General features: G+C 44.8%; 1 protein-coding gene across 3 annotated transcripts in view, besides 2 other annotated features; it reads left to right on the forward strand.

The window, feature by feature from the left end:
* The window catches only part of DUS2 (dihydrouridine synthase 2), a 56037-nt gene that overhangs the window by 16485 nt on the left and 12894 nt on the right, over positions 1-26658 (forward strand). For 2 of the 3 annotated variants that reach the window (NM_017803.5, NM_001271762.2), the window contains 6 exons: positions 9737-9782; positions 13796-13887; positions 14806-14849; positions 16596-16656; positions 21298-21345; positions 26549-26614. In NM_017803.5, the coding sequence (NP_060273.1) occupies positions 9737-9782; positions 13796-13887; positions 14806-14849; positions 16596-16656; positions 21298-21345; positions 26549-26614 (357 nt within the window). The remainder of the gene's footprint in view (positions 1-9736; positions 9783-13795; positions 13888-14805; positions 14850-16595; positions 16657-21297; positions 21346-26548; positions 26615-26658) is intronic. The other variant, NM_001271763.2, reaches the window with a different exon arrangement.
* Positions 4775-4964: a silencer, noted in NCBI's record as "fragment chr16:68078446-68078635 (GRCh37/hg19 assembly coordinates)". NCBI's record gives its function as "represses an EF-1alpha promoter that drives an FKBP-Casp9 reporter gene in an ReSE screen in K562 erythroleukemia cells {active_cell/tissue: K562}" and the evidence as "EXISTENCE:reporter gene assay evidence [ECO:0000049][PMID:32094911]".
* Positions 21735-21784: an enhancer, noted in NCBI's record as "active region_11003". NCBI's record gives its function as "activates an Ori minimal core promoter by ATAC-STARR-seq in GM12878 lymphoblastoid cells {active_cell/tissue: GM12878}" and the evidence as "EXISTENCE:reporter gene assay evidence [ECO:0000049][PMID:35858748]".

The raw sequence follows: 26658 nt of genomic DNA on the forward strand, positions 1-26658 counted from the left end.
GAGGGAGGGAAAAGAAAATTAGACCCCTGGAGGACAGCTCTAGCACATAGACATGAACACTCACGGAGTTAATGGCTTGAGGAATGAATAGCAGATGAGGGAATAGAAATAGGGCTGCCAACTACCCCTTCAGTTAAGGGAGGTACAGGCAGGTAGCCTGAGGTGGAGGAAGCAGGGTGAAGGGAGTTGTTTCTAGATGACTTGCATGTTTGTAGTATAAGAGGAAGGAAGGCATTAGAAGGAGGCCTGAAGATTCATTTGGGGGATTTGGCGTGATGGGTAAGGTCAGGGCTTGAAGAGGACAGGAATCTTTTTTTTTCTTTTTTTTTTTTTAAGACAGTGTCTCACTCTGCCTTCCGAGGCTGGAGTGCAGTGGCACAGTCTTGGCTCACTGCAACCTCTGCTTCCCAGGTTCAAGTGATTCTCCCAACTCAGCCTCCTGAGTAGCTGGGATCACAGGTGCCCGCCTCCATGTCCAGCTAATTTTTGTATTTAGTAGAGATGGGGTTTTGCCATGTTGGCCAGGCTGGTCTTGAACCCTTGACCTCAGGTAATCCACCTGCCTTGGCCTCCCAAAGTGCTGGGATTATAGGTGTGAGACACTGCACCCGGCCTTAGGATTGTTTTCAAGCCCTTTGGAAGTTTAGGGCCCACGATTTATGTGATTACTTCAGTATGTGACCCTCCTAATTGGGCAAGACTTGGTTTTCCTAGTAAATGTGCCCATTCCTTTCTTCCAGGGTCCTGCTCCTGTATGGAGCAGAGGAAATATGAATTAAAATCTGTTAGCATTGTTTGATGTGCTCTTCCCTGAGAGAGTCAGTATAACTTACAAATAAACAAAGGGGTATCTACCTAGGCAGAGACCTAAGCCTTCCACCCAGATCTGCCACCTATGGAGAGCAGACAGGCAGGCAGGTCAACCTAGGTTGTGTAGGTGGCTGGGACTGGGCCCCCGGGCATGGCTGAGTGTGGTGTCAGCGCCCCCTGGTGGATCCATGGTTGTTTTGCCAGTGAGCTTTGGAGTACCAGTTGCGTGGATGTTCTTACTGGGGGTGGCGGGGGGGAGTTGATGTGAGGTGGCCCATCTGTGGGATTAGATAATCAAATGACCTCACCCAGCTCACAGGACCTCGTGCATATCAAGCATGTAGGCACCTCCTTAAAAACCCCACAAAGTCGCCGAGCGTGGTGGCTCACGCCTGCAATCCCAGCACTTTGGGAGGCCAAGACAGGTGGATCACCTGAGGTCAGGAGTTCAAGACCAGCCTGAACAACATGGTGAAACCCCATCTCTACAAAAATACAAAAAATTAGCTGTACGCGGTGGTGCACACCTGTAGTCCCAGCTTCAGGCTGAGGCAGGAGAAACGCCTGAACCTGGGAGGCAGAGGTTGTAGTGAGCTGAGATTGTGCCACTGCACTCCAGCCTGGGCGACAGAACAAAACAAAACAAAACACAACCCACAAAGTCCTCAGCCTCTGGAGGATGAGCCAGTCTGTAAAAGGCAAGAGAGCCGTAGTCTTCCCACATCAGGGTCTGTCAGGAATTTTTGAGGAGTGATGACAGTTTTTGGGAGGTGCTGCAGAGGCCGCGTTCCTGTTTCTTTTTATAAGAATGGTGGGATTCTGGTGTTCCTGTCTGTGAAGAGACACTGACCTGTTAGACTTAAACTTCTTATTAAGTAGGATCAAGGGACAAGGCAATGTTCTTAAGAGACCCAGAGTCCTACAGCCCAGAGGCCCACAAATGATTGATTTAGGCCAAGCACAGTGGCTCATGCCTGTAATCCCAGCACTTTGGGAGGCCGAGGCAGGTGGATCACCTGAGGTCAGGAGTTCGAGACTAGCCTGGCCAGCATGGTGAAGCTCTGTCTCTACTAAAAATACAAATTTAGCTTAGCCTGGTGGTGCACACCTGTAATCCCAGCTACTTGGGAGGTTGAGACAAGAGAATCACTTGAACCCATGAGGCAGAGGTTGCAATGTGCCCAGTGCGCCATTGCACTCCAGCCTGGGTGACAAGAGCAAAACTCTGTGTCAAAAAAAAAAAAAAAAAAGAGAAATGAGTGATTTTTAAAAGTTTTTTTTTTCTTATTGTGACAAAAAACATACAAGATTTACTGTCTTAACCATTTGTAAGTGTACTGTTCAGTAGTGTTATGTATATTGACATTGTTGTGAAACAGACCTCCGGAACTTTTTCATCTTGTGAAACGGAAACCCTGCACCCATTAAACAGCAATTCCCCAGTTCCCCTTCTCCCAGCCACTGGTAACTACCATTCTACTTTCTATTTCTATGAATTTGACTACTTTAGATACCTTATATAAGTGGAATCATACAATATTTATTGTTTGTGACTGGCTTATTTCCCTTAGCATAATGTCATCAAGGCTTACCTATGTTATAGCATGTGACAAGATTTCCTTCTTTTTTAAGGCTGAATAATACTCTATTGTATGTATATATCACACTTGGTTTATCCATTCATCCGTTAATGGCCATTGGGTTGCTTCTATCTCTTTCAATTGTGAATAATGCTGCTGTGAACATGGGCGTGCAAATAATCTCTTTGAGACCCTGCTTTTAATTCTTTTGATTATATATCCGGAAGTGGGATTGCTAGATCATATGGTGGTTTTTAATTTTTTGAGGACCCTCCATTCTGTTTCCCATAACCATAATAGCTGCATCATTTTACAATCCCACTAACAGCACACAAAGCTTCCGGTTTCTCTACATCCTCAAAAATGCTTGTTTGATTGTTGTTTTTGAGACAGAGTCTTATCCTGTCACCCAGGCTGGAGTGCAGTGACCAGCCTGGAGCTCCTGGGCTCAAGGGATCCTCCTACTTCAGCCTCCTGAGTAGCTGGGACTACAGGCTTATGCCACCACACCTGGCTAATTTTATTTATTTATTTATTTTTATTTTTATTTTATTTTTATTTTTATTTTGAGACAGAGTCTCGCTCTATCGCCCAGACTGGAGTGCCATGGCGTGATCTCAGTTCACTGCAACCTGTGCTTCCTGGGTTCAAGCAATTCTTGTGCCTCAGCCTCCTGAGTAGCTGGGATTACAGGCATGCACCACTACACCTGGCTAATTTTTGTATTTTTGGTAGAGACGGGTTTTTCCATGTTGGCCAGACTGGTCTCGAACTCCTGGCCTCAGATGATCTGCCCGCCTCAGCCTCCCAAAGTGCTGGGATTACAGGCATGAGCCACCATGCCCAGCCACATCTGGCTAATTTTAAAATCTTTTGTAGAGACAGGATTTCGCTATGTTGCCCATGCTGGTCCCAAACAGGTGGCCTCAAGTGATCCCCTCACCTGGGCCTCTCAAAGTGCTGGGATTGGCTGGGCGTGATGGCTCACACCTGTAATCCCAGAACTTTGAGAGGCCGACTCAGGTGGATCACGAGGTCAGGAGTTTGAGACCAGCCTAGGCAACATGGTGAAACCCCGTCTCTACAAAAATACAAAAATTAGCCGGGTGTGGTGGTGCCCATCTGTAATCCCAGCTACTGGGGAGGCTGAGACAGGAGAATTGCTTGAACCCATGAGGCGGAGGTTGCAGTGAACTGAGATCACGCCATTGCACTCCAGCTCTGGGTGTCAGAGCAAGACTCCGTCTCAGGGAGAAAAAAAAAAAAAAGTGCTGGGATTACAGGTGTGAGCCACCGTGCCTGGCTCACTTATTGTTTTTTTGATGGTAGCCATCCTAATGGGTATGAGGTGATATTTCATTGTGGTTTATTTCTCTGATTAGTGATGATTAGTGATGGTGAACATCTTTTTATATGCTTTTTTGGCCATTTGTAGGTCATATTCACCCAGAATAGGTAATTTTTTAAAAACAACAAATTAAAAATTATGTTTTTAGAAAGAAATAATTTCTTTTCTTTTTTTTTGAGATGGAGTCTTGCTCTGTTGCCCACGCAGGAGTGCAGTGGCACCATCTCAGCTCACTGCAACCTCCACCTCCCAGGTTCAAGCAATTCTTCTGCCTTGGCCTCCCAGGGAGCTGGGACTACAGGTGCATGCCCCCATGCCTGCTTAATTTAGGTATTTTTGGTAGAGACGGGGTTTTGGCATGTTGGCCGGGCTTGTATTGAACTCCTGGCCTCAAGTGATCCTCCTGCTCGGGCCTCCCAAAGTGCTGGGATTACAGGCTTGAGCCACTGCACCGGGTCTGTGCTCTTGTAAAAAATCAATTAATCATAGATGTTTTGATTTGATTTATATCTGGACTCTCATTTCTGTTACGCTGGTCTGTATGTCTACCTGTATGCCAGTACCACAGCCTTTTTTTTTCTTTCTTCTTACTGGTGAATTGAGGACACAACACAGTCTTGATTATTGTAGCTTGGTAGGTTTTAAGATTGGGAAGTATAAATTCTCCAACTTTTTCTTCTCTTTCAAGATTGTTTTGTGTAATCTGGGTTCTTTGCATTGCTATATGAATTTTAGGATCAGCTGGTCAATTCTGCCAGAAAGGCAGCTGGGATTTTGATGGAGTTTGCATTGAATCTGTAGATTAGTTTACGGATTATTGCTGTCATAACAATATTTAGTATTCCAATCCATGAACATGAGATGTCTTTATTTAGGTCTTCTTTAATTTCTTTTTTTTTTTTTTTTTGAGATGAGGTCTCACTCTGTTACCCAGGCTCAAGTACAGTGACATGATCTCAGCTCACTGCAACCTATGCCTCCTGGGCTGAAGCCATCCTCCTACCTCAGCCTCCTGAGTAGCTGGGACTACAGCCATACTCCACCCCACATGGCTAATTTTTGTATTTTTTTGTAGAGTTAGGGTTTCACCATGTTGCCCAGGCTGGTCTCGAACTCCTGATCTCAAAGTGATCCGCCTGCCTAGGCCTCCCAAAGTGCTGGTATTAAAAGCATGAGCCATTGGGCCGGGTCAGGTCTTCTTTAATTTCTTTCAACAGTGTTTCATAGTTTTCAGTACATGAGTCTCATACCTCTTTTTTTGAATTATTTCCTATGTGTTTTATTTTTATTTACTTTTATTTTTTGAGGCAGAGTCCCGCTTAGTTGCCCAGGCTGCAGTGCAGTGGCGCAATCTCAGCTCACTGCAACCTCTGCCTCCCGGGCTCAAGCCATTCTCCTGCCTCAGCCTCGCGAGTAGCTGGGATTACAGGCGCCTGCCACCATGCCTGGATAATTTTTGTATTTTTAATAGAAATGGGGTTTCACCATGTTGGTCAGGCTGGTCTTGAACTCCTGACCTCAGGCAATCCACCCAGCTCGGCCTCCCAAAGTGCTGGAATTACAGGCGTGAGCCACTGTGCCCGGCCGTGTTATTCTTTTAGATGTTATTACAAATGGAATTTCTTAATTTCCTTTTGTATTGTTCATTACTAGTGTATAAAATATAATTGATTTTTGTGTATTGATCTTGTGTCCTTGACCTTGCTGAACTTGTTTATTAGCATGTATGTTCTCTTTCTGTCTCTCTCTGTCTCTCCTGTGTGTATATGTATGGGTGGGGGAAACTTCCACAGGCTTTCTATATACAAGATCACATCGGCCCAGCGTGGTGGCTCACACCTGTAATCCCAGCACTTTGGGAGACCGAGGCGGGTGGATCACCCATGGTCAGGAGTTTGAGACCAGCCTGGCCAACACGATGAAACCCCATCTCTATTAAAAAAAAATACAAAAAATTAGCTGGGCATGGTGGTGGACGCCTGTAATCCCAGCTACTAGGGAGGCTGAGGGAGGAGAATCGCTCGAACCCAGGAGGTGGAGGTTGCAGTGAGCCGAGATCACGCCACTGCACTCCATCCTGGGCAACAAGAGCAAAACTCTGTCTTAAAAAAAAAAAAAACATCATCTGCAAATATAGTTTTACTTTTTCCTTTCTAATATGGATGCCTTTTATTTTATTTTTTTTTCTACCTAATTGTCCTGGCTGGAACTTTCTTTTCTTTTTTTTTTTTGAGACGGAGTTTTGCTCTTGTTGCCCAGGCCCTGGAGTGGAGTGAAGTGACATGATCTTGGCTCACTGCAACGTCTGCCTCCCATGTTCAAGTGATTCTCCTGCCTCAGATTCCCAAGTAGCTGGGATTACAGGCATGAGTGGCTAATTTTTGTATTTTTAGTAGTTACGGGGTTTCACCATGTTAATCAGACTGGTCTCGAACTCCTGACCTCAGGTGATCCACCCTCCCCGGCCTCCCGAAGTGCTGGGATTACAGGCGTGAGCCACTGTCCCTGGCCTGGGAAACTTTTTAATTTTAAAATTTATTCTTATTTTCAAAATTTTAGATTCAGGGGTATATATGCGGATTTGTTACAAGGGTACCATGTGTGATGCTGAGGGTTTGGCTTCTATTGATCCTGTCACCCAGATAGTGAACATAATACCCAATAGGATCTTTTTTAGCCCTTGCCTCCTCTCTGCTTCCTGCCTTTTGAAGTCTCCGGTGTCTGTTGTTCCCATGTTTATGTTCGTGTGTACCCAATGCTTAGCTCCTGCTTATAAGTGAGAACATATGTTATTTGGGTTTGTTTCTGTGTTAATTTGCTTAGGATAACGGCTGCCAGCTGCATCTATGTTGCTGTAAAGTACATGATTTCATTCATTTTTTTTTTTTTTGAAACGGAGTCTCCTTCTGTTGCCCAGGCTAGAGTGCAGTGGCACGATCTCAGCTCACTGTAGCCTCCGCCTCCCAGGTTCAAGCGATTCTCCTGTCTCAGCCTCCCCAGTAGCTGGGATACAGGCCTGTGCCACCACGCTCGGCTAATTTTTGTTGGCATAAGCCAACTGTGCCTGGCCTTAATTTCTTGTTTTAGGACTATTCCCATTTTTTATTTCTTGAGTCAGATTCAGTAGTGTGTGTCCATTTCATGTAGGTTATCTAATTTTTTGGCATACAATGGTTTATATTATTTCCTTATAATACTTTTTATTTCTTTAAGGTCAGAAGTAACGTTTTCTCTCTCATTCTGATTTTTTTTTTTTTTGAGACGAAGTCTTGCTCTGTCGCCGAGGCTGGAGTGTAGTGGCACCATCTTGGCTCACTGCAAGCTCCGCCTGCCGGATTCATGCCATTCTCCTGCCTCAGCCTCCGGAGCAGCTGGGACTACAGGCGTCTGCCACCACACCCGGCTAATTTTGTTTTTGTATTTTTAGTAGAGACGGGGTTTCACTGTGTTAGCCAGGATGGTCTTGATCTCCTGACCTCGTGATCCGCCCGCCTTGGCTTCCCAAAGTGCTGGGATTACAGGCGTGAGCCACCATGCCCGGCCTTTTTTTTTTTTTTTTTTTTTTTTTGAGATGGAGTCTTACTCTGTTGCCAGGCTGGAGTGCAGTGGTGCGGTCTTGGCTCACTGCAACCTCCGCCTCCTGGGTTCAAGCGATTCTCCTGCCTCAGCCTCCCAAGTGGCTGGGATTACGGGCACGTGCCACCACGCCTGACTAATTTTTGTATTTTTAGTAGAGATGGAGTTTCACCATGTTGGCCAGGCTGGCCTTGAACTCCTGACCTCGTGATCCACCCGCCTCAGCCTCCCAAAGTGCTGGGATTACAGGCGTGAGCTGCCGCGTCTGGCCTCTCTCATTCTGATTTTAATAATTTTTGTCTTCTCTCTTTTTTTCCACTGGTAGTCTAGCTAAAAGTTTGTCAATTTTGTTAATATTTTCAAATAACAAAGTTTTTGTTGTTGTTGTTGTTGTTGTTGTCATTGTTGTTTTTTCCCGAGATGGAGTCTTGCTCTGTTGCCCAGGCTCTGGAGTGCAATGGCGCAATCTCGGCTCACTGCAACCTCCGCCTCCCTGGTTCAAGCAATTCTCCTGCCTCAGCCTCCTGAGTAGCTGGGATTGCAGGCATGTACCACCATGGCCAGCTAATTTTTGTATTTTAGTAGAGATGGGGTTTCACCATGTTGGCCAGGATGGTCTTGAACTCCTGACCTCAAGTGATCTGCCTGACTCGGCCTCCCAGAGTGCTGGGATTATAGACATGAGCCACCGTGCTGGCGTGTTTTTTTTTTTTTTTTGAGACAGGTGTCACTCTGTTGCCCAGGGTGGCATGCAGTGGCACAATCACAGCTCACTGCAACCTCGAGCATCTGGGCTTAAGCGATTCTCCTGCCTCAGCATCCCATGTAGCTGGGACCACAGGCACATGCCACCACGCCCGGCTAATTTTTAAAAATGTTTTGTAGAGACAAGGTCTCACTTTGTTGCCCAGGCTGGTCTTGAACTCCTGAGCTCAAGTGATCCTCCTGCTTTGGTTTTCTAAAGTGTAGGGATTACAGACATAAGCCATCATGTCTGGCCAGGGTTTGTTGTTGTTTGTTTGCTTAGTGACTATTCTGAACTAATTTTGTAAGGCCTGTGTTCTTTGCCATGTGTGGCCTATAAAGTTCTCCTGGGTTAGCTTAATTGTTAGCTAATATTTGGATGGAGATTTCCGTAAATACTTGGAAACAATGAACTTCCCAATCTTTGATGTGGTACGTGTCTTACTTTTTCCTGTTCTAGTCCCTACCAAAGCTCAGTTTGGCTACTGAATTTCTTTTTATAAGCACAGGCCATTCAGTGCTTCCTACTTGTCTACTTGCCTTCCCCTGCAACTAGGATCACTGGCTACTGGGGCTCTGAGTTGGGCTCTGCCCATCCCTTGGGATGCCACACTGATTCTTGGGGGTTGGATGTCAACCATGTCCAAACTGCTTAGTTGTGGTGATTTGTTTGTTCAGGCCTAGTGGTCATCAGATATTTGATGACCTGAATACTGCATGGAGAGAATGGCCACAGAAACACCTAGAGCATTTGTTAATCTGATGGTGGGTATGCTGCGGGAAGTCCCATGGATACTATGAGGATTCTTTGGCCATTGTCCCTAGGTACTCCGATGAGTGAGTAGGAGGTCATTGTGCCCACTTGGCTGGGGTTGTGACTTGCTGGGGCTCATAGGGAGTCAGTATGGGGGTTAGTACCAGGAGTAAGCACCTCTTCTTTTCTTTTCTGGACCCCCAGAATCCATGGGCATGAACTTCTGGGCAGTGTGACAGGTGTCTGCTGAACAAAGCAGAACAGTCTTGTCTCCAACTAAGAATTAGAGAATCTCAGTCCTCCAGCACATAGGAGGTTTTCTTCCATTTATGATGTGATTTTGAAGAACCCCCCTTTTTCTTTCTTTCCTTAGTCTGTTTGAGTATCTCCAGAGTTGGGGACCTCGCCCTTTTCATTTCCACATAGTGTGACCCATGTGGGATAGGGGTTTTAGACTTTTCTTTCCTGTGTTCATCTCAGATCTTCCTCCCTTTGCTTCTATTCTCTGGTTCCAGTTTTGTTTTTGGATGTTTCTTGGGAGCCCTTCACTGCCTGCCCTTTGCTGAGGGATAGGTGGGATATTCTTTGATGGGGTGGGCTTCTGCTGAGACCAGTAGGTGAGGAAATTTTCCAAGTGAATACATCCTGAATGATTATTGTCTTTCTGGCTAAGTGGTTCATTCATTCTAGGCCCCAACCATCTCCAAGTTTCCTGGGAAGGACAGCTAATTGAGAGTAGCTCACTCTGGCTCCTGCTTGCCATGCTTGGGTGGGGAGAATAGCACTACATGTCCCAAAAGCCGTGGTTTGTTCTTGGTAGTAGGGCGACTGGCCAAGCGATCCTCATTAGGTGTGTGATGAAAATCCTTCATGCCCAGAGCCTACATGTTCAGGAATGACAAGCGTCCTCTGATTCCTCTGCAGGAGCTGATCGACCTCAAGATGATTCAGTGCAAGAGAGTTGTTAATGGTGAGTACAGATCTGGCTCCAGAATTATGCATATGCCCTGCTGGGCTCAAGCAGCACTACCACTGCCCTTGCCTGGGGTGACAGTGTCTTGCCTGGCTTCATTGAGTAATTCTATAGATCACATGCTCCCTTGAGAGCAGTCACTGATCTCCAGAGGCCATGACAAAAAGCCTGATGTGAAACAGGCTGAGAGTGCCTTTCACTCACAGGCTTGCTGGCATAGAAATCACCATGCATCATAGCATAGGAGGGACTCTAGGAGCCTTGGAGTCAGGATGGCTTTAGCATTGGCCCTGGCTTGGCCACTTGCTAGATGTGTGACCTTGGGCAGGCCATATGACCTCTGTCTGCCTTAGTTCCTTTATCTGTAAAATGAAATCATAGTCTTTGCTTTACTTCAATCATAGGGTTGGAGTGAGGACCAAATAAGATAAGGTACATGTAAGTACTGTGGACGCCCTATGCTCTGTGCAAATGTGATTGTGATGAATTGTAGTTTTGCTGATACTTTATTGATGAGGCTGATTCTGCTTTGATTAGAGTTGTGGTATATTCCTTGAGTTTTCTGATACATACGTATATGCTTGTGAAATCTTTTTTTTTTTGAGACGGAATCTCCCTCTGTTGCCTAGGCTTGAGTGCAACGGCGCGGTCTTGGTTCACTGCAACCTCTGCCTCCCAGGTTCAAGCAGTTCTCCTGCCTCAGCCTCCCGAGTAGCTGGGACTACAGGTGCCCGCCACCACACCCGGCTAATTTTTGTATTTTTAGTAGAGAAGGGGTTTCACCATGGCGGCCAGTCTGGTCTTGAACTCTTGACCTCGTGATCCGCCTGCCTTGGCCTCCCAAAGTGCTGGAATTACAGGTGTGAGCCACCATGCCTGGCCGAACTATTTTAAATGTGTATATTTTTTTCTGTGTGATAAAAAATTCAATATTATAGATCTGTGTAACCTAGAAAATGAAAATCCTCCATAATCCTACACCTAAAGAGGTAATCAGAGAGAGGAATAATGTATGTTTTTCTATACATATAGTAAATAATGTGTGTGTACAAAATATGACGTGTTTATATATATCCCTCTTCTAGGTTGAAGATAAGGAAAAAAAATGTATCTATATCTATATCTGTATCTATATCTATATCTATATTTATCTATCTCCCCACCCCATTTGATCATACAACACGTGTTGTTTTGCCATTTACTTATCTACTAGGTCATTTGCCCATGTCAGTACCTAGGGGCAACTATGTCAGAATTGATTTTACCAGAGCCTTAACAGGGGTTCCCAGTATTTTGCTGTTATAAACAGAGTTGCATTATAAACACACAAATATTTTGTGGTTCTTCTCTCATACTTCTTACTGCCAGTCATGAGCTGTCTCTGTCAGTGATCACTTTGATTACCTCTCTCAACATGTCATTGCCTTTATCCCACCCTAAAAACCTTCTCATCTGTTTAGTGCTGGATGATAATAAAACCATCCATGTATGGAAATACTTTAAGTGCATCAAAGATCTCATTTATTTCTCAAGACAGCCTTTGAGGTAGGCATATTCTCCCATCTGCCACGTTCAGTCTTTTTCATGTATAGTGATCTTTGAAAGCTAGTAATGGTAGCACCTATTGTGGAGCTTCTTTAGGAAGCTGACAGATAAAATACAGTTGCTTCTCATTATGCACCGTTGTTGTTTCTATAAAGTTGCTTTAAACATCAAATGAGCGGATACTGAACCATTGACCCTGGGGTAAACAAAGGGTTAGGTTTGTGCAAGCCTCTGGTCATATTTTCATCAACTTGTCAGTCCATAACTTTGTTTTATGTGTGTTTCTTTGTTTTTGTTTGGTTTCTTTTTTGTGACCAGGTCTCACTCTGTTGCTCAGGCTGGAGTGTACTGGTGTGACCATAGCTCGCTGCAGCCTCAAACTCCTGGGCTCAAATGATCATCCTGCCTCAGCCTTCCAAGTAGCTGGGATTTCAGGTGCACACCTCCATGCCCAGCCAATTTTTAAATTTTTTGTAGAGATGGGGGTCTTGCTATGTTCCCCAGCTGGTCTCAAACTCCTGGCCTCAAGTGATCCCCCTGCCTCAGCCTCCCAAAATACTGGGATTACAGGACTTAGCCATCACACTGGCCATGTGTTTCTGTTTAAAGGCATATTATTTAATATATACCATTGATTCACTTAACATTGAACCCACTAACATGGGTAATAGTGCTATAATTTCATGCCGAAACAAAGCTTATTCAAGATGTGTATTTTCTCTGTAAGTCCCATGACCGTTTTCTTGTGCTTAGGAACATTAGATAGCATTTCAGCAGTATGGTTGGGACCATTTTATTTTATTTATTTTATATTTTTTGAGATGGAATCTTACTCTGTAGCCCAAGCTAGAGTGCAGTGGCGTGATCTTGGCTCACTGCAACCTCCGCCTTCCCGGCTCAAGAGATTCTTGTGCCTCAGCCTTCCAAGTAGTGGGGACTACAGGTGTGTGCCACCACACCCAGCTAATTTTTTTTTTTGTATTTTAGTAGAGACTTGAGTTTCACCATGTTGCCCAGGGTGGTCTCGAACTCCCTAACCTCAGGTAACCCACCCGCCTCGGCCTCCCAAAGTGCTGGGATTACAGGTGTGAGCCACCGCACCCAGCCACTTGGGACCATTTTAAACAGTGAGATCACCAACAAAAAGCATAGACATGCAGAAATGTGGCATGAAATATACCACAAAAGGGACACTTGTTGACAGTATGAGAGCTGAAGGGAGAAGACAGAGCATCACCTTGTTTGACCTCAGCTGGGAACATGCACATCAGGCAACTCAAAACTTTCACCACTCTGTTCCTGTCCTTGGATGACCATGAAAACATCACAAGTATTGATTTTGGGGTCACAAATAAATGTTAGCAAATAGGCACATTTGCAAATATGCAACTATGAATAGTATAGGAGATTGATTGTTATATAGTAACCTTCCACTCATAGCACCTGTCTCACTGTAAGTAAATAGTAAATTTGCTGAACTTCAGAGTGATGTTTTCTGGGAAAATTTGGGCCAAATCTGAAACATAGACAAACTTCCATGTATGGACTTTTTTTTTTTTTTTGAGACAGAGCCTCCCTCTGTTGCCCAGGCTGGAGTGCAGTGGCGCGATCTCAGCTCACTGCAATCTCTGCCTCCCAGGTTCAAGAGATTGTGCTGCCTCAGCCTCTTGAGTAGCTGGTATTACAGGCACCCTCCACCACGCCCAGCTAATTTTTGTATTTTTAGTAGAGATGCGGTTTTGCCATGTTGTGTAGGCTGGTTTCAAACTCCTAACCTCACATGATCCACCTGCCTTGGCCTTCCAAAGTCCTAGGATTACAAGCGTGAGCCACTGCGCCCGGCTATGTATGTACATTTTGTTTCAACATTTTTTTTTTTTTCGAGACGGAGTCTTGCTCTGTCGCCCAGGCTGGAGTGCAATGGCGCGATCTCGGCTCGCTGCAACCTCCGCCTCCCAGATTCAAGCGATTCTCCTGCCTCAGCCTCTCGAGTAGCTAGGGTTACAGGCATACCCCACCACGCCTGGCTAATTTTTGTATTCTTATCAGAGACGGTGTTTCACCATGTTGGCCAGGCTGGTCTTGAACTCTTGACCTCATGATCCGCCCGCCTCGGCCTCCCAAGGTGCTGGGATTACAGGCGTAAGCCACCATACCCGGCCCGGTTTTAACATTTTAAACGTTGCAAAATGTTAACCACCATTCAGAAAAAGTGCATTAAACACAAACATGCAGTTTCACAAGTAATTGCAAAATGAACAACCATCACCCAGGTCAGGAAATAGACCATCCTCATCATCACAGAAGCCTCCCATGTGCATAGTTATTTTTGGTAAGAATGGTATACATTTAGGATCTCTTTCCCCTTGAAGCTTATACTCTGGCTGTGTTTTCTTCCAGGGCTTAGGCTAGCGTTGAACTTGCATCTTCATTGAGTGACCCTATGTGTTTGGGTTTTCTTGCAGAGGTGCTCAGCACAGTGGACTTTGTCGCCCCTGATGATCGAGTTGTCTTCCGCACCTGTGAAAGAGAGCAGAACAGGGTGGTCTTCCAGATGGTGAGAGACTCCATTGCTGCATGCCCTCCTGAGGCTCACCATCCCCTGGGATTTCCCAACTCATGCCCTGTGCCAGGCCAGTGTTGAATACCTGGGGTACATTGTACAACGATGGCTTCCTGAAGATTCTGCTTTAATGTTTTCCAAAGAGCCAGTCATGAGTAATTATACTATTGGAGACAGTTTATGGAAATCAAGCTATCACAGTCTTATATGTCTCTAGTCTCAAATTTAATTTACTTACTTGTAGGAATTGTCTGTTTGGCATGATTTCTCTATTTTTTTATCCCTAGCATTGATTACTCAGATCATAGTCTTTGTTTTTATGTAGTGTGTATATATTTCTCATAGAAAAATATTAGGATTTTTCAAGAGTAGTTAAGATTTGTATTTGAGTTGTGATGACTCTATAGTGCCCTTCTCTCGCTTTGGGCATTTCTTGGTGCTTTTTCAGAAACATCCTTAATGATGTTTAGGTTTCTAAAAAATTGTTAACAATGGGTAACCATGTGATAAAGCAAATCTAGCAAAATGTTAATTGTAGAATCTAAATGGTGAGTGTTTGAATGGTCACTATAAGTTAACAATGGGTAACCATGTGATAAAGCAAATCTAGCAAAATGTTAATTGTAGAATCTAAATGGTGAGTGTTTGAATGGTCACTATAAAATGTTTTCAAGTTTTTTATATGTTTGAGTGTAATCATAGTATAGATAACATTTTCTAGACCTTCCAAGTCCACCTTTTTCTGCTGGCAGTGAGCTAGTCTAGTGGGCTGGCTGTTTAAGAGAAAGCCAGCCTGACTCTGTTGTTGGTGTGTGGGGTGTGTGTGTGTATGTGTGTGCTGCATGGGTGTGTTTGTCAGTGCATGTGTATCTGTGTCAGGGCAGTGGTTGATGCAGCCTCTTGTGTTCCCAGGGGACTTCAGACGCAGAGCGAGCCCTTGCTGTGGCCAGGCTTGTGTAAGTTCATCCTCTGTCTTTAGCACTGCCTTTGCCTCTCCTTTGAGCTGTGAGGGTTTAATGTCCTGGTGACTTTGTAGGTGACTCACCCTTCTGCCTTCTAGCCCATTACCTTCTGTTTCCAGGTTAAGAGTGCCTGGTTTCCAGCCAGGTGCGGTGGCTCATGCCTGTAATCCCAGCATTTTGGGAGGCTGAGGCAGGTGGATCATGAGGTCAAGAGATCGAGACCATCTTGGCCAACATGGTGAAACCCTGTCTCTACTAAAAATACAAAAATTAGCTGGGTGTGGTGGCGCGTGCCTGTAGTCCCAGCTACTCAGGAGGCTGAGGCAGAAGAATCGCTTGAACCCGGGAGGCAGAGGTTGCAGTGAGCCGAGATTGCGCCATTGCACTCCAGCCTGGTGACCAAGCGAGACTCTGTCTTAAAAAAAAAAGAGTGTCTAGTTTCCTTCTCTTTGTGGCATCCAAGGGCTGGCCTGGGACTCATGTGTACCTACAGTGCCTAGATCTCAGAGACCCTCTATGCATATTGGGGGGAGCTGTTTTTTTGTATTTATTCGTGAAACTCCTTCCCAGGGACTCCCATGACTATGAGTCCTGAAGCTTTAAGTATCAAAGTATAGGTAAGACATATTGCTTCCTGAATTAACATAGATAGGAAGCCTGGGGAACATAGGCAGAGCTCATCTCTACAAAAATGGTGGTGCATGCCAGTGGTCCCAACTACTTGGAAGACTGACGTGGAAGGATCACTTGGGCCCAGGAGGTCGAGGCTGCAGTGAGCCTCCATTGCGCCACTGGACTCCAGCCTGGGGAACACAGTGAGACCCTGTCTCAAGAACAAAAACAAAGGCAGGAGAGTGCTATAGTTAATGTGATAGGTTTTGAAGTTAAGACAGACCTGGTTTGCAATTCTGGTTTTGCTACTTGTTAACTGTGTGACCTGAGATAAGTTGCTTAACCTCAATGAGAACCTAGTTTTCTCACCTATAAAATAGTGCTACCAACCTCTGGCATAGGGAAGGGTAAATGAAATAATGCCTGTAAATGTCTTTGCAGCATGTGGCACATACTGACATCTTAGTAAGTGTTAGCTATCGTTATAATTACAAAGAGTGAGTGGGAACTCAGGCAGTTATTGCTGCTGATCACGGACTATTAACTATGTATTACTATTTAGGTTGGTGCAAAAGTAATTGCGGTTTTTGCCATTACTTTCAATGGCAAAAACCGCAATTACTTTTGCACCAACCTAATACATACCAGAGGACGGAGTGAGGATTCTTTTGACATCTAAGAATTGTTTGGATTAAACCATCTGTGCAGCCCAGCCAACAAAGGCAGTGCTAGAACTTCCACCAGAAGCTGTCGTCTGGCAAAGGGCTCTTAGGCTCATGTCACTTTTCTGCATTGACAAATGGCTTTTACTATTTCAGCCGAGTTCAGTGTGCCCATCTGAGTTATCTGATACAACTCCAAAGTAGCAAAGCCCTCTTCATCTAGCCCTTTATAGATGTGTGCACACATTATGTCTTTTCTCTGGATTTCTGCTTAGATGAGGCAGGTGCACGTTTTAAGGATGGGTTTCTTTCCCATTTTTCAGCTTCTGTCATTGGGGGTTGGTGTGTTTCATAGAGTCAGGGACAGGGTAAGAGGTTCATGAGCACAGGCCCATCCATGCCTTTAATTTCACCTTCTTTGCTCTAATTCAATACTTATTACCTTTACTCCTTCATCCTTTTCCAGAGAAAATGATGTGGCTGGTATTGATGTCAACATGGGCTGTCCAAAACAATATTCCACCAAGGTAAACTGGTTTCTTTATACTCCTCATAAACATAGGATGCAGATTAAGAGGCTGACAAGACATAACTAAGTATAGTACCTAACTCTGGACTGGATTCTGTACTAGATGGGGAAAATGCTCAAAAAGATATCGTTAGATGAACTGACAACATTAGAATAGGGACCATAGTATATTAGCTAAATATACTGTATCAATGTAAACTTATGAAGATAACTTCTGTGGTTATGTAACAGAATATCCCTGTTCTTAGAGAATACACACTGAAATATTTAGGAGTAAGGGGCTATGATATATGTAATTTACCCTCAAGTGGTTTATACATATACACACACACTCATATATCACACACACATACATATATAGATTCATACATAGATTATATATATTTTATTATATATTATATATAATGTTATATATTATATAATGTTATATATTATTTATATGTTATATAATATATAGGTATATTATATTACATATATATTTATTCTATATAATATAATAATACACATATATGTAATTATATGTAATCTATAATTATATATTACACATATAAATATATACAATAAATATATAAATATATAATATATAATTATATAATACATATAAATATATGTAATATATATTTATATATATATGTAATATATATGTTATAAATATATAATATATAATTATAGATTACATATATTATATATTACATATATAAATATATAATAAATATATAAATATATAATATATGTAGTATATAAAATAAATATATAATAAATATATATTACATATATAAATGTATATAATTGTGTATGTGTATAGATACATATATATATATAGAGAGAGAGAGAGAAAGAGAGAGAGAGAGAGAACTCATGCCCAAGTAATAAAACAATGCAAAGGTACAGAGAAAAATAGAGGGGACAGGGCTGTGTCTTTTCATGAATAAGACTGAGACACATATCCCAGAAAGCCCAGAGGAGGATTATAAAAAAAAAAAAGGGAAAACAACTGAGACATACATTTAAAAAAAAGAGAGGAGGCCGGGAGTGGTGGCCCACACATGTAATCCTAGCAATTTGGGAGGCTGATGCAGGAGGATCACTTGATCCCAGGAGATTGAGATGAGTCTGGGCAACAGAGTGAAACCCTGTCTCTATAAAAATTTTCAAAAGTTTAAAAAAAAAAGGCCAGGCCTGGTGGCTCATGCCTGTAATCCCAGCACTTTGGGAGGCTGAGGTGGTCAGATCACCTGAGGTCAGGAGTTTGAGACCAGCCTAACCAACATGGTGAAACCTTGTCTCTACTAAAATTACAAGCAATTAGCTGGGCGTGGTGGTGTGTGCCTGTAATCCCAGCTACTTGGGAGGCTAAGGCAGGAGAATCGCTTGAACCTGGGAGACGGAGGTTGCAGTGAGCAAGATCATGCCACTGCACTGCAGCCTGGGTGACAAGAGCGAAAATCTGTCTCAAAAAAAAAAAAAAAAAAAAAGTGGATGCAGTGTAAATGTTCCCATTGTCGTATCAGAAGAGATCAGACTATGGTAGCCCAGAGAAGGGAGTGGAAAGGCAGCCTTTAAACTTGGAATTTGATAGGGAAATATTGTCCTTGGGCTGAGATTTAGGACCCTGTAAGCAGAGGGTGTGGTATAAGCAGGGGCCTGGGGATGAATATGAGGTAGACACAGGGAGGCCTGAGTAGCCCGATTTGACCAGAGGTTTGTCGAGTGGGAGATGATGAAGAAGAAGCAGACTGCAGGATCGAAAACCTTGGTTGGTAAAAGATCAGCTGGACTTGGACTTTAGGTATCTTTGGGCTTTTTTTTTTTTTTGAGATGGAGTCTCACTCTTGTCGTGCAGGCTGGAGTGTAGCAGTGCAATCTCGGCTGACTGCAACCTCCGTCTCCTGGGTTCAAGCGATTCTCCTGCCTCAGCCTCCTGAGTAGCTGGGACTACAGGTGCCCGCCACCACACCCAACTAATTTTTTTTGTATTTTTAGTAGAGACGGGGTTTTGCCATGTTAGCCAGGCTGGTCTTGAACGCCTGACCTCGTGATCCACCTGCCTCGGCCTCCCAAAGTGCAGGGATTACAGGTGTGAGCCACTGTGCCCGGTGGTTTTGCTGTTTTCTGATTACTTCTTTGTGTTCCTAAATTATGTGAGGAGCAGAGTTAAAATGATCTGGAGGCAGGGTAAGGTGGTATATACCATTTATATAAGGAGGATAGGGAATGATTATATATATTTATTTGTTTATTCAGGGAAGATTTTTGGAGAGACACAGAAGAAACTAGTAACATTGATTTCCTCTGGGGAAGGAAACTTAAGTTTTTATCTGGTTATGCATAGGTAGTAAATTCCCATTACAGGGGTGCTACTGAAAATAATTAACTGGCACAGCACTGGCACTGATCAGTCAGAAGAGACACCAATCAATATGCCACACATGTACATACTAGCTGAATATCTGCTGTGTTCTCATGGTTCAAAAATTGAAGCCAGATAAAAAGCATAGATTGAGGCTGGGCTTGGTGGCCGATGCCTGTAATCCCAGCACTTTGGGAGGCTGAGGCGGGCAGATCACCTGAGGTCAGGAGTTCAAGACCAGTCTGGCCAAAAGAATGAAACCGCATGTCTACCAAAAAATATAAAAATTAGCCAGGTATGGTGGCAGACACCTGTAGTCCCAGCTACTTGGGAGGCTGAGGCAGGAGAATTGCATGAACCCCAGAGGCAGAGGTCGCAGTGAGCCAAGATCACGCCACTGCAGTCCACCCTGGGCCACAGAGTGAGACCCTATATGAGAAACAAAAGAAAAAAAAAAGTATAGATTGAAACATTTCCCATTCCTTAGGCAGGGAGACTTCTTACTCGTTACCCATTTGAATCTCTCAAATTTTGAATGTTTTACCTATTCAAAAAAGCAAGTAAGTTTAATAGAAACGAAGGAAGGAAGGAAATTCCATTGTTGAGAAAGCTATTATTGTGGAAGGGGCAGTGAAACTGAATTTTAGATCCTGTGATTCTATAAGGAAGGGCTGGATACGTGTGAGTGGAAGGACAGATGGAGCCAGGGGGAGTGCTGGGGCTTCCTCAAGGCCTTCAAGGTTTCTTTTATGACCAATGTAGTCCAGGCTTGGTGGATTTTCCAGTCTACCCATTCTTCTTTAAAATCCAGGCTCAGCCTGGCCGAGTCTGTGGTGGTTTAATGTTCTCTCTGATTCCAATTTATCATCCTTAAACATGAAATTAAAGTGTAATAACTGAACTTACACCTTCTGAGCACATTCTGTGAGCATTCATTAGTATGTAATCTTTATACTGGCAGCATATATTTATTGGAATTGTTTTTTTTGCCTTCATCTCACTCTTAATGGATTCAGATTTTTAAAGATCCCCCTCCTCCATTATTAAAGTAATTAATACCATTGTCTAGAAGTTGGAAAATATAGACAAGTACAGAAAAGAGCAGGAAAATCACCAGTAACTCACAATAAAAAGCAACCACCATTACTATTATCAAGATTCAAGTGGTTGTGTGGGTTGGTAGTTTCCATTTCCTGGGGCTTTGGTTAGAGTTGGGCATGGGTCTGGGCTGGGACATTGTTGCTGGCAGAAGAGAAGGGCCTAGACAAGGTTTGTAAGTTGTGTGCACCTTAGTAGCTTTGCTGGTGGTGTTGATGCCTATGCAAGCATTGAGTATGATAGGAAGAAGGCACATTTGATCTTATTTCAAATGAAGGATGATTCATTGTTTTTTAAGGGCTTGGGAGATGGTGGGATTTAGTTTATTAAGACACTGAGACCTGGGTTAGGGAGTGGGCAGTCTTGAAAAATAAGTTTTATATAGCCCACTCTAGATAGATTTGTGGGATTTACCAAGGGGATCAGAATGATGACTTTTTTGTTTGTTTGTTTGTTTGAGATGGAGTCTTGCCCTGTCAACCAGGCTAGGGTACAGTGGTGCAATCTCGGCTCACTGCAACCTCCACCTCCTGGGTTCAAGCAATTCTTCTGCCTCAGCCTCCTGAATAGCTGGGACTACAGGCACACACCTCCATGCTCGGCTAATTTTTGTATTTTTGGTAGAGACTGGATTTCACCATGTTAGCCAGGCTGGTCTCGAACTCCTGACCTCAGGTAATCCACCTGACTCAGCTTCCCAAAGTGCTGGAATTACAGGCGTGAGCCACCACGCCCAGCCTATACATTTTAAAAGTCATCACTCTGGTCTGGCCAGCCTGGCCAACATGGTGAAACCCTGTCTCTACTAAAAATATATTAAAAAATTAGCTAGGTGTGGTTGTGCATGCCTGCAATCCTGGCTACTCAGGATGCAGAGGAAGGAGAATCACTTGAACTGGGGAGGTGGAGGTTGCAGTGAGCCGAGATTGCGCCACTGCACTCCAGCCTGGGTGACAGAGCGAGAATCTGTCTCAAAAAAAAAAGAAAAAAAATTATCACACTTCAGTCCCAGATGTTATGGGCACAGATACTGCTGCCCTCCTACTTGTTTAAAAGAAGTGCCGGTTGCCAGTGGGCCTTGGTCCCTTGGAAGTGAGTGCCGGGGTGACGCTCAGTTGCCAGACCCCATCCCATGGAGAGGGCCATAGTGTCTCCCAGATGTAAGAAGACCTTTTGTGTGTTTCTCCTTAGGGAGGAATGGGAGCTGCCCTGCTGTCAGACCCTGACAAGATTGAGAAGGTAAGTCCTCCACGAGTGAAAGCAGGGGTCCTCAAACACAGCTCCAAACTAGAATTGTCTAGAACGCCTCCTTCCACCAATACCAGATTTACTGATGTCCACCCAGTTTCTCTCCCTGAGGCCTAGCGATTTCCAAAAAATTTTCCAGTGATTTTGACATGCAGCTAAGTTTGGGAACCCCCGAGCCAGCCTACAGCAGCCTTGATGTTCCTAAAAAGCCCAGAGCAAGAGACATGTCAATGAAGAGCCAGGGGTCCTGAGGACTCACAGAGAACCTCCTCTGTATTTCCTGTCTCCCTTCTGGGAAGGTCTTGAGAGCAGAGGCCAGCCCACCTGTGGTGAGGACGGGCTCAGTGGCCATATGTGTTTGTATGTGTGTGGGTGGATTGGCCTCTCCCAGGGGGCTTGATGAGAGGAGCAGTGGGTCCCCTATGTCCTGAAAGAGTCTACCCCAGCCCTTGGAGAGAAGCCCGGGCCAGGGTCAGAGGAGGCAAGCTGAAGTTAGTCTCTCTCTGTTCCCCTTTCTTTGGTGATTCTGTAGGCTAGCTTAATGAGGCCCTGGGGACAGGTTTGTGTTCCTCTCCCAGTCTGCCAGCTCTTTCCTTTTAGCTCCTTTGTTTTCCTTTTCATTCTCTATCGCTACTTCCCTGTCTGGGCTTTAAGCCTCATCCTGCTTCCCAGAGGCTAGAGCGACTTGGGACTTAGGCATCACCAATGAGAGCTGCCATCATTGCCAATGAGAGCTGCATGGTTGCTGTGCCAGCAGCCCAACCCTGCATGTTCCTCCAGCCCCACTGTCTCTGGGACATAGGAAGACCACTGTGCTTGCTGGCTACATGCCTTCTCGTTTTTCCCATGTGCAGCCAGAGATACTCTATCTATAGTGCACCTGTATAATGTGCCTTTCTTTTTTTTGAGACAGAGTCTTGCTCTGTCACCCAGGCTGGAGTGCAGTGGCACAATCTCAGCTCACTGCAACCTCTGCCTCCAGGTTTCAAGCAATTCTTCTGCCTCAACCTCCTGAGTAGCTGGGATTACAGGCGCCCACGACGACGCCTGGCTAATTTTTGTATTTTTAGTAGAGATGGGGTTTTGTCATGTTGGCCACGCTGGTCTTGAACTCCTGACCTCAGGTGATCTGCCCATCTTGGCCTCCCAAAGTGCTGGGATTACAGATGTGAGCCACTGTGCCCAGCCATAATGTGCCTTTCATTTGATCCTGAAACCCCTTGAAGTAGATAGGATTGGCAGTTATCTCCATTTGATCAAGGACAATAGACTAAAGCACAGAGAGAGAAAATAATTTGCTTAAGATCATATAGTAGGCCGGGCGTGGTGGCTCATGCCTGTAATCCCAGCACTTTGGGAGGCTGAGGCGGGCAGATCACAAGGTCAGGAGATCGAGACCATTCTGGCTAACACGGTGAAACCCAGTCTCTACTAAAAATACAAAAAATTAGCTGGGCGTGGTGGCGGGTGCCTGTGGTCCCAGCTACTCAGGAGGCTGAGGCAGGAGAATGGCATAAACCCGGGAGGCAGAGGTTGCAGTGAGCAGAGATCGTGCCACTGCACTCCAGCCTGGGCGACAGAGCAAGACTCCGTCTCAAAAAAAAAAAAAAAAAAAAAAGATCATATAGTAAATAAGTGGCAGGCAGAGCCAGCTTGTGAACTATAGTCTCTTCTGACTCCTAGTGTCAGCACCCTCTCCAGTAGCATCTCAGGTTCAAGGTGCCTGGGTATAGTTTATAAGTGTCAGGTCAATAGGCACCTCAACTTGGAAATCTCCAGTTAAGACACTTGTGTGCAGGGTGGAGTGGAAGTAGACATCTTGGATGTCAAATTGGTTTCCACACCTAGGAGAGGGGGCCCCAGCAGGGAGGATGTGGTTCACAACATGAGCACACAGGCATTTTTGTTATCCTCCAGCCTCCTCTCTTCTCAGACCCAGGCTGTTGGCTCTGTCCTCTCTACTGCCCCTCTTTGAATAAGGCAGATTTCATCCATGAGGCAGCAGAGATACACTCAACCTCAGAAGCTTAGTTCATTTCACTACTTCTCTGGTTGGGTACTCAGATGGGCCAGGTTGGACTGATAGATGGGGTTTGCCCCATGGTAGGGAGGTTGCAGGCTTCCACAACAAAGCCAGATGTGGCTTAGGTGTAGGGGCTGGATTCAATTCGGGTCCAGACTGTGTTGGCAAGCTGGGTGACCTGGGTGAGAGCTTTGCGGGTCCTTCCAGGCTTGGCGTTTTAGGCCCGTGGTTCCATCTGTGGGAGTATCTCAAGACCACCTCTAGAAATTTTCTCAAGATTCTTGTTTGGGGTTATGAAAAACTTTGGAAATACATAACATTGGTGGTTGTACAACATTGTGAATGTAATTAATGCCACTGAATTATACACTTAAAAATGTTTAAGATGGCAAATTTCATGTTATATATATTTTACCCCAGTTAGAAATAAAGGATGCTATCTGTTGAGAATTCTGCAGACCCTTGGGGTGAGTAGGGGTGGAGAGTGGGATATCAATCTCTTTGAGAAAGCTTCTACCAGGTAACTCTGATATATGCTCCCTGGATTAAGAACCTCAGTTTTATTTTATTTTTTTAAATATTTATTTATTTATTTTGAGAGGGAGTCTTGCTCTGCTGCCCAGGCTGGAGTGCAGTGGTGCGATCTCAGCTCACTGCAACATCCACCTCCTGGGTTCAAGTGATTCTCCTGCCTCAGCCTCTGAATAGCTGAGATTACAGGCATGCACCACAACACCCGGCTAATTTTTGTATTTTTAGTAGGTACGGGGTTTCACCATGTTGTTCAGGCTGGCCTTGAACACCTAACCTCAGGTGATCTGGCCTCCAAAAGTGCTGGGATTACAGGTGTGCGCAGGGCATCCCCCTTGTGTACACTGTACTTGGGCCATGGCTGACAATTGGCAGGGCCAGGACATGAACTCAGGTCTCAGTGCTTTCCAGGCCTATGCTTTCCTATCCTCATCTGCTGCCTCCCAGAAACCAGGGGAGTGAAGGAGACTGCTTTTCTTCAGTTGGCCAGTGGGTCTATTGAGGCAAGCCTGCTTGTAGGTAGATGTGCTGTTCCTCTGCTCAAATATGGACTTGTCTCTCATTCTTTCTCCCCAAAGACTTGGATCTGGAGAGTTGGTGTCCAGGAGAGTGTCATGCTAGAGCCTGGCCAGAAGACAATCTCTAGTTGCCATTTCCCCTCAGTGTGACCCTTGCAAGTGCCTAGGGTTTTTGGTTACCTAATTTCCTTCCTAGTCCTTAACACACACATGAAACACACAGAAATACTGAAGAAAGTACTGAGAGCTACTTGGATAAAATAGCAAAAGGAAGTTCTACAAGACAGAGAATTGGATCAGACCAGCTGGTGTTGCTTAAATCACCAAATGTCAGAGGATTCTAAGTGAGCACTTGTAATGGAACCTTTTAGAGATGTTGCTCTGAGCATGAAGGATGGGACTAGAATGAGAATTTTTATTGTATTTCTTGATGAACCTGTCAGTCCCGCCCTTAAAATGTAAGTGCCTCTTTAAGGCCTGCCAGGGTGACCCTAAGACCTCAGGCCAAGTCTGCCTCCTGGAGCAGCACCTAGAGACTGTTCCTTCCTGCCAGTCCCTGGCATTTGGGCCAGCAGGTCCTGTCTTGCTCATGAACTGTCTGTCAGTCCAGCCTCTTGATCTGATGTCTTCTGGAATGGCCTGCTTCATCCTGTCCCTGATAGGCCTCCACTACTGGTTTTTGCAACCTGGCTCTCTGCTGCCCCCGCCTGTCTAGAATCAAGACTGGCAGCAGCCACCTAGATATCCCCCTGCTCTGCTAGGCAGAGATCCAGTTCTTGGAAGAGGGTTCTTGGGATCATCTTTCCTCCAGCTTGCCTGGCCTGAAATTTCTGATGAGGGAAGAAGATAGCAATGACACAGACATGCAGTGTCATCTACACCTCTCTATCTCTGATTCTTGTGTGGTCTGGTCTTGCTACCTCCCTGTCACTTTCCTGCGTGACTTCTTGATCTTTCTTTGAAATCTTTTGCAATTGCTATGTGATAAGCACTTTTAAATATGTGCTTATCTTATGAGTATGTTGTCTTTTCCTTTGCCAGTTTCACTCATGTATGTCTGACTGCCCTAAAGAGGAATGCAGGCCCCCCTTAAGAGCCTTCCTGTTCCCTCACCCTGTAAGTCCTGGAACAACACTTAGGGAACATTCCCTTCACCCAGGAAAGAAGCTGTCTGCCCCCCCGCTTTTTTTTTTTTTAATAGAAACAGGGATGGGCTAGGTGCAGTGGCTCAAGCCTGTCATCCCAGGACTTTGGGAGGATAAAACAGGTGGATTGCTTGAGCTCAGGAGTTCGAGACCAGCCTGGCCAACATGGTGGTCCCAGCTACTCTGGAGGCTGAAGTGGGAGGATGGCTTGAGCTAGGGAGGCAGAGGTTACAGTGAGCCAAGATTGTGCCACTGCACTCTAGCCTGGGAAACAGAGCCAGACCCTGTCTCAAAACAAAACAAACAAACAAACAAACAAAAAGGAAACAGGGTCTTGCTGTGTTGCCCAGGCTGGTCTCAAACTCCTGGCTTCAAGCAATCTTCCCACCTCAGCCTCTCAAAGTGTTGGGATTACAGGCATAAACCACCACACCCAGTTAGCTATGTGTTCTTTTTTTCTTACTTTTTTTTTTTTTTTAGCCGTGTGTTCTTAACCAAGGCTAGGCCTCAGAATGATTCTGAGGACGGGCTGGAGTGTGTTGGGCAGAGCCTTTTGAAAACACACATTCCTAAGCCCTTCCCCTAGAGACTGACTCAGGAAATAATAGTGTGGAATTCAAGAGTGTGTATTTCTTCAGTTCTCCAGATAATTCTGGTATTTGTCCTGGCAAAGGCTCAGTGAGCTGCACACAGGTGTACACGCGTACCCATTCACTCACTCATTCAGTATATTTGACAAATATGTGTATACCACTAGGTGCCAGGCAGGTGCTGGGGCTCCAGTATAGAACAAAGGCAGGTCCCTTGCCTCATGGAGCTTATGTGTGTATGTGTGTAACAGACACACACATGCATTCACACATATGCAAACTGTTCATGCCACCGGAATGCACAGCCTGTAGCGGAGTTAATTAGTACAGGCAGAGTGATGGTTTGTTCCAGAAGACATAGGTGCTCTTGTGTTTTCCTTTCTGCAGATCCTCAGCACTCTTGTTAAAGGGACACGCAGACCTGTGACCTGCAAGATTCGCATCCTGCCATCGGTAAGGATGGTGTGTTACATATGAAGGTCCATTCTCTCTGGTGA

Source organism: Homo sapiens, chromosome 16 (assembly GCF_000001405.40).
Source record: "Homo sapiens chromosome 16, GRCh38.p14 Primary Assembly".
Taxonomy (NCBI): domain Eukaryota; kingdom Metazoa; phylum Chordata; class Mammalia; order Primates; family Hominidae; genus Homo; species Homo sapiens.